General features: G+C 32.6%; 1 protein-coding gene across 32 annotated transcripts in view; it reads right to left on the bottom strand.

Annotated features, from left to right (window-relative positions):
- Positions 1-12344, bottom strand: part of ARB2A (ARB2 cotranscriptional regulator A) — a 493975-nt gene that overhangs the window by 183119 nt on the left and 298512 nt on the right. For 3 of the 32 annotated variants that reach the window (XM_047417819.1, XM_017009961.3, XM_005272109.6), the window contains one exon: positions 4721-5077. The exons of the other annotated variants lie outside the window; for them this stretch is intronic. In XM_047417819.1, coding sequence (XP_047273775.1) covers positions 5006-5077 — 72 coding nt within the window. In that variant the 3' untranslated portion in view covers positions 4721-5005. Of the gene's footprint in view, positions 1-4720; positions 5078-12344 lie in introns of those variants that run through there. 32 annotated transcript variants of the gene reach the window in all.

Below are 12344 nucleotides of genomic sequence, written 5' to 3' on the forward strand. Positions count from 1 at the left end.
AATGGTAGCACATCAATTTTTCTCTTTCATTTTTAAATGATCAGCTGAAATAGAGAATGAAATGCAATCTTTAATATAGTTTTAAAAGACTTTAAGTTACTTTTGAACTACGAACATGTGAAAAATTACAAATAGGATCACTGACAGTAATTTTTATAAGTAAAAAGGTACAAATTGTTGCTATTTGTGCTCTTCATTCTTAATCCTTTGCTTATCTTTCTTTTGACCTTTATCCAAATGAATCACACTAACTCTTGAATGCTTTCTCTCACTTGATTTCTAAAGCTGTTCATCACACTTGCTGGCTAGAAGCACAGCTGGCAAGGGATCTAAGCCTCATCACTGGGCAAACTTGCCCTTCTGGTTTTGCCAAGAATGACATTTCCAATGGAAGAAAAAGTTACTGTATGGGACACTGGATACTCTATTTATTTGTGAGAACCAATAGCTCCAACCCCCTTTGTTAGCACTACATATAGGCATTAGAAATAAAACCAAAATAACAAAGGATCAAACAGCCTAGAGTTCTCTAAATTCAATTGTTAATTAAAGTGAGAGCACAGAAACCAGCCGAGTATTTTTATTCATTTCCTGAAGAAAGATGCAACCAAGGATAAGCAGTGCCCCCTAGTGTCAATAACCACAGACAATAAAAGCTAGAGAAAAGTTGCTAATGTTAGCTGAACTAAATTATTAAAAATATATGTTTTAATACATGATAAATTCATCATTATTCAAATTTTAGACTTTACATGTATATAAAAGCACACCCACATCATTTATTTAATACTGACTTGCTCAGGAATGTGCACATGTGAGGGCACATGCACACACACTGTACACAGACTGACATGGCCAAGATGTCTTTAATGTTTCAGGCAGCTCAGAAAAAAAATTCCACCCAGCACAGCAGGCCATGCATGAAGCGGGTGTCAGCAAGCCCTACAGAATCACTCACTGTGAAGACATCTAATAGGAACTGCTGAATACACAATACAGGCAGCATGGCCTGAATGGCTAAAGTGGAATGGCCAGAACGAAGTCTGAAGGTTTTCAAATACAACCAAAATTATAATTCAACCAGTAAAGAATTTTTAGACATTTTCTGTTTTTATTGTTATTAGGAAATTAGTATATTTAGCCTGTATTAGAGACTGATTTTGAAAATGCTATAACTTTTACCATGCATATTCTGAATATTGAATCCTAAATCTGAAGAACAAATAAATATACATCCTCTCTTTGGAAAAAAATGCAACACAAAATTCAAATATTAAAAAACACTAAATATATTTTATAAAATTTAAGTCAAGATATATTTTCTCTGATAAATCTTATAAGAAAATTTAAGTTATTTTTAAAAGACAAATTAGGTATCTAGAGAGTGATATATGTGCCAAACAGGTAAAGTCAGTTTCTTGTTTTGTGAAATACTGTCACTTATTTATTAACAGCAATTTTTGTCATAGATGACACATAAATGGGGGCAAAAAAGAAATCACAATGAAAAAGAAAACATCCATACAAATAAAAATGATAAACAGGAAAAACCAAAAAGCCAGGAGGACTGGGTATGTATGTATCAAATAAGCATCTAATAAAAAGCAAATTAATACGATAAACAATTGCTTAATTTTATTTACATAAAAAGTACAAGGCAAGAAAAATTCAAGGCTATTTAAAACATGTATTTATACAGAAGTCCATTTGTGAATTACTTTTTCACATAAACCAATAATGCATATAGGACTAGTTTTTCATTTTAAAAAGCACAAGACATAATTATGCTTTTATAAAAAGATTGCTATGTGCATTTAAGTTGCTCCATCTTTAAAAGGATGAAGATGCAAATGCAATAGTTTAGCAGGCATAAACAGAATTCCAGAATGATGTTTAGCAGTAGATAGGTATTTTGGCCATTTACAATAAATTCTGGTTAAAACAGAAGCTGAAACTTCAACTATTCAAATTTAGAAAAAGTTCTAAAATGCTTACTATTGAGTTTTTAAAGAAGCATAATGATGGCAAGACTACTAAAATCTTTAAGAATTAAAGAACAGCAGCAACAACAAAAACCCCCTTCTTACATATAACAGTATTTCGCTAACATCCAGAAGGAAATAAAATGTAGATGGACATATTTACATTCATGCTAATTGTATGGACACACATTTTGTTGCATTAACAATTATGAGTTACTTCTCACAAAAATCTCCAATGGAAATGGAGTATTATACCACATGAGTAATAACAGGTGCCTGCTTAGATAGGTGATAGTGAAAAGTCAAATTTGTGTGCCTATCCACGAGGAATGAGGACTTGTTTTTTCCTTGGTGGAACATGTGCAGTTTAGCATGCTACTGCAGCTGGCACTAAACATCAAGTAATTTTCTGCAGCTCTTCAACAGACAAAAACATTATACATATAAAGTTGTTATGTTCTTTCATGTCTTTTACAAATTTTTGTTTTCATGGATACTACAGCTTTCATCTTTAATTCAACAATAGACTACTTGGTGGTTATTTGTTATTAATATAGGCATAAAGTGATGTGAGATTTCTAAACCCACCCTAGAACTCTCCTACTTCAATTCCCTCTCCTCCCTCACCGCCCCCCCACCCAAAAAGAGGGATAAATTCTAAAGGCTAAGATGTAAGATGAGAACACATGAACACATAGAGGGGAACAACACATACTGGGGCCTATTGGAGGGTGGAGGGTGGAGGGTGGGAGGAGGGAGAGGATCAGGAAAAATAACAAATGGGTACTAGGCTTAAGACCTTGTGATGAAATCATCTGTATAACAAACCCTCATACACAAGTTTACCTACATAAAAAACCTGCATATGTATTCCTGAACTTAAAAGTTAAAAAAAAAAAAAAAAGAGAAAAGCTTCCATTTTTGGACATAAGAATTTTTTAGACTTAACCCAAAATATTTCTATGTGTTGATTTGGGGAATGTATGAATAAACGTCCCTGGTCAGGTTTTTCTTTTTGTAGAAAACGGGAAAGGTAAGCAGGTCCATGCCTGTTGCATGAAAGAGATGCTGGGTTAGGATTATGAAGACAGTGGAGCTAGGTTTGTACACAGCCGGAGAGAAATAGTGATTCAGAGCTGTTATTATTCCTACAAGGTCAAAAGAAATGGAAAAGGTTTGTAACCCATGTACTCTATTACCAGCATGAACATACCCATAAATACATTTGATTCCTTTCTAGAACATCTCAAAGAGTTTGGAAATATATGTACACAGACACCATACAAAGATAAATTTTAAAATGTGAGCTTTTAGCTTTAACTTTCTAAAGCCTACATTAAAGTGTTCAAATACAAATTTTGTTTTGCGTATGTGTTCTTAACAGACACAAATGACAGGATTCTCATAAAATGCTTAAAGGCAGAAAAAGAATATAAAAGATAAATAACTTCAAAGAAAGATATTTCCTTAACATATGTATATTCATCTGAGTATCTAATAAGTAAACAACTGTTCATGCATATCATATCTGCAAGGATTATTCACTAAGAGTTTCCATATACTTAAGCAAGCATACATACATACCAAATAATTGAGCATAATGCATTTTTAATAGACTCTTATTATACCAAAAACATTTTCGTTAAGATGATATAACTGTATTATACTTTCAATAATAATTCAATATTATTAAAAGTTGTAAAGAAAAAATACAGCATAAAGGAAATATTAGTCTTCTGATATAATTTCTTTAGCTACTGATTTTAATTAACATTAAGAACTGCTCATATTTACCAGTGGGAGTTAATGCTTGCTTATTAGCCAATATATATATTGTTCATTTATATTACCTTGGGGCAGGGATTGAGGAAGAGTAAGAGACAGCTAGTAGATTTTTTTTATTCAGAAATTATATACTTTTTAATATATCTGTTTTATTCCTCAGAAAAGAAATGCTTTTGCCTAAAACAAAGTATATCTTTAGTAATCTTTTTATGTTTAATTTTTTGATTATTTTGAAAAATTTGAAATTTGTACATATACTGCAAGTTAAAAATCAAAGTTACAATTAAAACTTAAGTTTAAGTAACCAGAGATATATAATAATATCATACAGAGTGGCAAAAAATTTACAAGCATGTCCTAGGTGGTGAGATATCAAATTTTATTTCAGTAGTCAAACAGAAAAAAATACATCTTTAGAGATTTTATGAGGGGATGCATTTTAATATATAATTAATGATTAATGATTTTCACTACAAAGTTACCATGGTGTTATTAGAAATTCTCAGATTCAAATATGTTATAATACAAACATGGTAACTTCTAGAAATCACCAATCTAAATATATGATGCTTTGTTAAAGGGAAATAATGAGAACGGGGTTGAAATCACTGAATCCTTTCTTCTATGATTTAAAAATTACTATTCCTATATTTGAAAATCCATTAGCTTGAAAGCTTTTTGGCAATTCCTTGCTCCTTCACTATATAAAGGAAAAAGCAAAGGATTTCACTGAACAAGTTTTTACCAGCTATTTTACCTTTTTCATGTTTCCCAGTACCTCACAGCAAAACCCCCGTTTCCCCAGAAATGTTTAGAGTGTAAGCACGGTGAACATACTTCAGACTCAGATCACCATTCCCCTGCACAGAAGAGTCTGGAGAAGGTGTTCTTCCAGTGTAAGGTCCTGAGTATGACCTGAGCAGTAATAAAACAGCAGGCATCATACAGCATCCTTCCTGATAATTACACAGAGGTCACAATCCTTTATTTCTCACCAACTACTGAATTACATTTCTCCAATTTGGGTCCATACAAGAAGCTGATTATGTATAAATTTAAGGGGAAGAAATACAGCAATTTTGACTAAATTATATGTCAGAAAGTCTGTTCAGCTCAAATGCATATGTATACCTATTTGTAGTTGCTCATGGTCACTTGCATTTGGGGTTGTCGTTCAGTCCTATAAACGGTTTTCAATGGATCTCCTGTTGCACCATACACTTGTTGGTTGTATACAGTCAATGGTTCTTCCACATAGCTAAGCGAAAGCACTTCCCAGCATCTGAATTAGCTTGTTTGATCATGAGTTGCTGTGAAATATATAGACTCTTCTGATTTCTGAGGTAAAAGAGCTCTCCTCCACTCATGAGATTATTTTATATCTAGTAGAAGCTTAAGATATATATTCAGTCATTCAGATACGCAAATTTAACCACCAGAGACAAGTAAATTATGCAAGATGATGTACATTCCATTTCAGCTGGAAAAAATGTACAAACACTATACAATTCCAATTCAGAGAGCTACACTTGCACCAAGTTGAGAGGCACTGAAAAAAGTTGCAACGTAATATCTGTGTTTACACAGATTGGATTTAGTTTTGAAGAGCTGTTCTTAAGTACTTGAAGAGGTTTTCCATCTTAATACTTTTATATGCCTTTTTCATTGGTATTTTCATAATTTTCTCCCTAAACTACCAAACATATACTAAATCTCCAGAAAACAGTTACAGCTTTTATAATTTTTTCATATTTTTATGATTTATATACTATTAACAATTTTAGACATTCTAAGTTTAGATCACTCACAAATCTAATTTTTCAATATAAGATCATATTTCCTCATATATGTTATTTACATGAATAGTAACTCTATTTATAAACACTGGCTAGATAAATTACACACAACTCAGGTATATACTTCATTATATAGCTATATATTGCTGAAACTTTTACAGGACACCTTAAAACAGCAAATGACATTATCTAACCACTTGAGGTTATTGCTCTTGTATAATAAACATTTAATTCGCTCCAGAGTTTTTAAAGTATGAATTCCAGAATTTCCAAAGTAAACAAAAGAAATATGATCTCTAACATTTTAGTATCAAATTTTACAAAACAGAATTATTAAAGTAGAAAGAGATTTCTATGGCTTATGATATAGAGTGACACCAGTGATACCACTGAGTGAAATCACTGATGTCATGTTTTTCTGTAAAATTTAACTTCTACACTTTAACAATATTCAGAAATAGTGACCTGTTAAAAAACAGTATACACAAAAATGTCCTGATTTGTAGTAGGTGTTACTAAATATGCTTTCTAAAACCATTATGAATTATGGTAGCAGAATTTAATTACAACCACACAATAATCAAATTCAGCCATGACACATTTCTAAATCTTTGCCAAAAGTAACCTTTTTGTAAATTCACATAGGCTTTGATGAAACAGAAAACTGGTCTGGAGGAGGATATTGTCCTACATCTTGACAGAATCCTACATTTGTCTTACCAGTTCCTCACTAAATGCATAGCTAATAGGTTGGAGGTAATGGGCATTTTCTTGATAATTAGCTGTGTAGGCAAATATGTTTTTTGGCAGATCATATAAATGTTGATTTAAGGACCAGCCAATAAAGAGTGCTAAGCTGTAAAACATTCATTGCTCAATTTCCCACAGATTTGGTTGAAAAATGCTCAAGTTCAGATTTCCATTGTCACCAAGTAACAGACTACTATTTTATGGTACGAAATATATTTCACCTATAATTGATATATAGCTGCTTAATCATTTCCATATTTGACAAATTTGTACTATTCATATTAGTATTACTTATAATAATGAATAGCACCAGGAAAATCATCCTGGACCACTGTTTCATAGTGAAACTAATCAAACTCCTCATTTTCTTAAACACATAAAGCAATGCATGTCCCACTGAAACTAAGGAATCTATAATGTATATAAAGTTAGTAAAGACAAGTGGTAACCTATTGCAAACACCAGTAAATTTTAGTTTACATCTACGTTTAAGAGATCATCTTTAAAGAAAATGGTTTCAAGCTGGAAGCAAGATACACTGTTTTAAAAACAAAAATAGTACAAGATAACTGGCATATACTCTAGCAATTTTCTTTAACGTAGCTTTTTCAAATATAATCTAGTCTTCAGTGCACTCAAACTGCAGAAACATCCAAATTAGGGGGAAAAAAAAGCAATACTTATCCTTGCAAAAAGGGCCTATACTCAAAAGAAACATCTGAATAAAATTGAGACATCTGCAGTAAAGTTTTACCTTCTCCCTAGAATGTTTGAGATGAACTCAGTGTAACACTGTCTTCCAAGAAAAGACAAAGTGATCAATGCAAGAACACATCAGGCTGCCTTGGACAGGCCAATCAATGCAAGAAAAAACCTTGCCCAGGGCCTTATGCAAATAGAAGCACGTCCTGCAACCTAGGGAGGGAACATGCGCAATAGATCAATTGGATATAAAAAACCTTACGGCTATATCGGCTTCAGACAGTAAATATATACTGATGAATATCTCATACTGCCCGCGAATTCTTAAAATGGGTTATTTTTAATAGCTAGTTAAAAACTCTTCCTGGGATCTGGAGTGCAGCAAAATGGAAGAAAATATCACAAGAGAAATACTCAGCATTACTTTTAAGACTGTGCAAATAAAATTCTGATTTCTTAAATTTCTTGGCATAGCTGAATTTTGCTGACATTTCAGAAGGTTAAGTTTTAAGTATGTTTGTATTCGAGAACAGGAAATAATCTAAAAAAAAAAAAAACCCACATACAATCCCAGGTAGTTTTTGAACAAAGAAAAAAATAAAAATGTTATGGGAGAAATCATTCAAAATGTAAAATTATGGTCATCATTCATTAAAAACTCACCCTATCACCAAAGATTATTCTCTATAGTGTTTAATGTATTGATACAGGAACAGTTTTTCTTTTAAAGTTAATGTTTGTATCTCCATGAATCTCTTAAAAACCTGATTAGAATGTATAATAACCTTAAGACCTAGTTAGTACACAAAGTTAGTATACAAAGCTCTCTATCCCTGTCAAAGGGTCTTGAAGGCAAGTCAGGTAATTTATAAGGCTGTATCAAAAATGCTCCATTATCAGGCCTTCAAGGGAATAATAAATAACTGAGTGTAAAATTTTTCTCTAAATATTTTTATTTTTTGTTTTTATTAAAACCAGCTGTTTCTTAGGAATTTCATGATTTAAAGAGCCTTTTATAAGTTAAAAAATCAAAATATTTTAAACAGGAATTATGCCAGCAACTATAATATAGATACTACCAAGCAAATAAGAAAACTGTAAATATCTATTAGTACATTTACTTTAATTGTCTTCTATTCTGGAATTTTAAATTTGAAAATTTAGCTGTAGATGTACTTTCAATCAGGTATGTAGCAAATATTTCTAATATTAAAAATAAATTACATGATTCTTCTTTTAGCTATTGGTGTATGGGATATTCCTTGGCAAAACACTACATAAAATATGAAAATCAGTCCTCTACTGTACAGTTCACTATTTGAAGCAGTTTACTTAGCCATTAAAAGGATGTAGACATCTTAAAACACTGATTTATTTAACTAGTGGAAAGGAATATGAAACTATGCACGATATATCGGTACTATGCTCACTATCTGGGTGACAAAATCATTTGTACACCAAACTCCAATGACATGCAGTTTACCCATGTAACAAACCTGCACATGTACCCCTGAACCTAAAAGATTGAAAAATAAATAAAATATTTTTAAAAAGAAACTATGTAGGATAAACAAAGCTCACTTTTTATTTGTAACATTTCTAGTGCTTTCTACATTGGTAAGATTTTAAGTTTCAGTTTAACCTAGTAAGATTTTTTCCCTAAGGCATAACTAAACACGTCATTCATTTGATCCTCTTAGACTCAAAGCTTTAAAAAAACTTTACTATTTTATGTGGGGAAAGCATAGAGATAAAAAAAATCAAAGTAATATAATACTCTTTTATAGCTTTTCAAGTATTAGGTATCAGATGAAGTGCTTATAATAAATCAGAAAGGCATGAAGTAGCAGGTTAATTATAGGGACTCAAATGTTTCCCTTTTTCCTATTTTAATTTCAAATATAGGAATTTTGAGTTGTCTGGTATTCACAGTGAAATGTAAACTCTAATTTACAGTAAGTAAAATACAAAAGACCAAGCAACTATGGTTTCACGTCTTGTTAAAATATTTAAATCATTATATTTTCTCCAATATATGGGACAAAATAAAAGAAAAACAATTTTAGAATATTATCGTCTAATATTTGATATGTACTGACATTGTGATAAGCATTGAGTAATGAAATTCTGTATTTTTTGAGATCAATTGTACAATGTGTGCTTCTTGCTTTTAAAAGCACATTTTCAATTTAAAAGGTAGGTATCAGGTATGTTGTTTAGCCTGCCAAAGAATTTTGTGCTTTACAAATAAAAAGGCAAAATTTCTTTAAATGAAGAGTTCCTTCACCAATTAAAAATATCCTAAATTTATTACAAATTTTCGTTGTGTAGGTTTCGTTTTTTTTTTTTTTTAAACCCAATTAGAATGAAGTGTGTGTCATGGGTAAATTGACTGGTTCTGAGACTAGGCTGACTTGGACTAATTGTGTCCTTTGTGCAACCTTCCATAGATTCCTCAATCTTTCTATCTGTCAAACAAGGCTCATCATACCTACCTGATAGAGTTAAACTTAGGTTGTACAATGCCTTGCTAAATAATGGTTTGGTTTTGTTTTGCTTTTGGAGACAGGGTCTGGCTCTGTCATCCAGGATAGAGTACAGTGGTCCAACCACGGCTCACTGTATCCTTGAGCTCCTAGGCTCAAGCAATCCTCCCACCTCAGCTTCTTGAGTAGCTGAGACTACAGGCATGCATCATAATATCCAGCTATTTAAAAAAATTTTTTGTAGAGATGGGGTCTTACTATGTTTTCGGGGCTGGCTGGTCTTGAACTCCTGGGCTGAACTGATCCTTTCACCTCAGCCTCCCAAAGAGCTGGGATTAAAGGCATGAGCCACTGTACCTGGCATAAATAATATTTAATGACCAAATGTACAAGAATCCTGCCTAATCTAGTGCTCTTTTTTTTGAGTGACAGTATAGCATGGTGGTTATGAGCATGGACTTTGGAGCCAGAAAGCCTGGGTTTCAATTCTGGCTCCCTCACTAGCTAGTTGTGTGATCTTAGGTAAGTTACTTAATATTTCTGTGGGTTAGTTTCCTCATATGCAACTGAGGTTAGTTTCCTCATATGTAAACTGAGGATAATAATGTAGTTACATCACAGGGTTGTTATAAGGGCTACATGAGTTAATATTTGTAAAGCACTTAAAACAACGCCTGGTACTTGGTAGGTGCTATTCTACATAGCTATTACTTCCAGGTGTAACTTATGGATATGGATAATATGAAGGAGCAAATGCTGATAGCAGAGACTGTTCCAGCGAGATATAAAAGGTCAATTCGATTTAGTTGGTATTAGAAGACCGCTGTCTCTTTGAAGCATGGAATGAGCCACAAAAAAGAGCCAACCAGGGGTTTGGCCAACGAAACTCATCTACTTTCCAGATCCTCATCAAGTGTTTTCAATTTTCCTGCTTAAACTAAATTTCCAGAGCACCACATCAAAACATATTCAAAATTTAAATATAAATGATTTGGAGACTGTCTAATTTTACATTTTCCACACCTTATTTCCCCTTCACTAGTTTGAGTAATGAAAAATCGATTAAAATTGAAAGCCTTAGTTGGAAGGCACAAAAAGAATAAGCAATAAAGAGAGAATAAAAACTAAATCATCATATAACTCAACAGAGAAATGTAGAATTGAACCCTGAAATACGTGAAAAACCGGGACGTTGTCTGAGGGTTAAAAGTCACTACAATTAGTACAATACACTATTTATTTATTTTTCACAGGTACTTGATGAGAAGGAAAACAAAAACCTAACTGTTACAAAGTGAGGTCATACTTTTAACGGGAAAAATATATATTTCATGTTTCTCATCTGTAAAATGGGGATAACAGTATCTCATAAAAGTGTTATGAGGATTAAATGAGATAAAGTATACAAATTGCTTAGGATAGTGCCCGGTGCATTATCATTTAAGCATGAGAGATGCTGATGATCAGCATAAGGATGATGCCACTGCCTTCTGATTCGCAAGAGACTCATAAATCCTAGTTCTATTTTAAAAGTTTATCCTTAAAGACACTACTATGAATTTTTTAGAACTGTTCTTGACCCAGTCATGTCTTAGGCCATCATGGCTGGCTGACAGATTACATGTATTCATACTGATAGCAATGACAGAATTCTATGAGAGTGAGGCAGAACTCTTAACACAGTAATTGGATATGAAGGTATCTGTTCTGAGAATCTACTGTGAGATCTTAGAGTAAACACACATGCTACCAGATGTTAAAGTTTACAATATACTAAAGATATCTAATATATTACTACATATTTAATATGTAGACATAATATAAATATGTTTAATATTTGGATAGATGCCCTACAATGTGTAATAGGAAGCAAACCTGAAAATTTGAGGCTGAGCCTAGAACAGTGGTAGAAACTTTCATTACACTATCAATGATAATTGGAACAGGATTTTTTTCCTGAGATAAACTGAGCAGTAACACAATGGTAATATATAGGCCACTGATCTCACATTATTTTATTTTCACAATTTACAGGGCATCATTTGATGGAGAAAGTCAAGTTTTCTTTGTTGTCGGCAGACAGGCTACTAGAAACCTTTAGAAAATCAACATTTATACTTATAAAGAATCCCAACTGGAAAGGAGTCAAGACTGGGGATTTCTACGGTAGGAGAAAGTTGAGTGTGTTTTATCTTTCTGCCCGGCACAGAAAGATAAATATAAAGTTTTTCTTCTAATGCAGTTGTCTGGTGAATGCAGTATGGAAATTTGGAGAAAATAGAAGTTAGATATTGAGACTTCTGGAAATTTAGGCACAAATAGGCATATTAGAAGTTTAATATGCCTATTTAGGCACAAATATTAGAAGTTTAATATGCCTATTTGTGCCTACATATCCATTTAAATCATCTGACTCGATTATAAAATTGTCACTAAAATATTGAATAGCAATTTTTATTTGTATTCTAATGCTCTTTAACAAGCTTCTTCATGAGAAAAATTCATATAAGGTATGGAAAAACTAAGAAGAAATCTGAATACACTAATCTTAGGAGGTAATTAGATTTAGAAGAGGCCATGAGGATGGAGCCCCCAAGATGGGGTTAGTGTCCTTATAAGAAGAGGAAGAGACTAGAGCTTTCTCTCACTCTTTCTGCCATGTGAGGACACAATGAGAACATGGCTATAGGCAAACCAAGAAGGCCCTCAATGAATCCCAACCATGTTAACACCCTTATTTAGGACTTCTCAGTCTCCAGAACTCAGAGAAATAAATGTTGTTTAAGCCACCTGTCTATGGCATTTTTGTTATATCATTGGTAGACATATGTACCTTAAAGTCA

This window comes from Homo sapiens, chromosome 5 (assembly GCF_000001405.40).
Source record: "Homo sapiens chromosome 5, GRCh38.p14 Primary Assembly".
NCBI classification, from domain to species: Eukaryota; Metazoa; Chordata; class Mammalia; order Primates; family Hominidae; genus Homo; species Homo sapiens.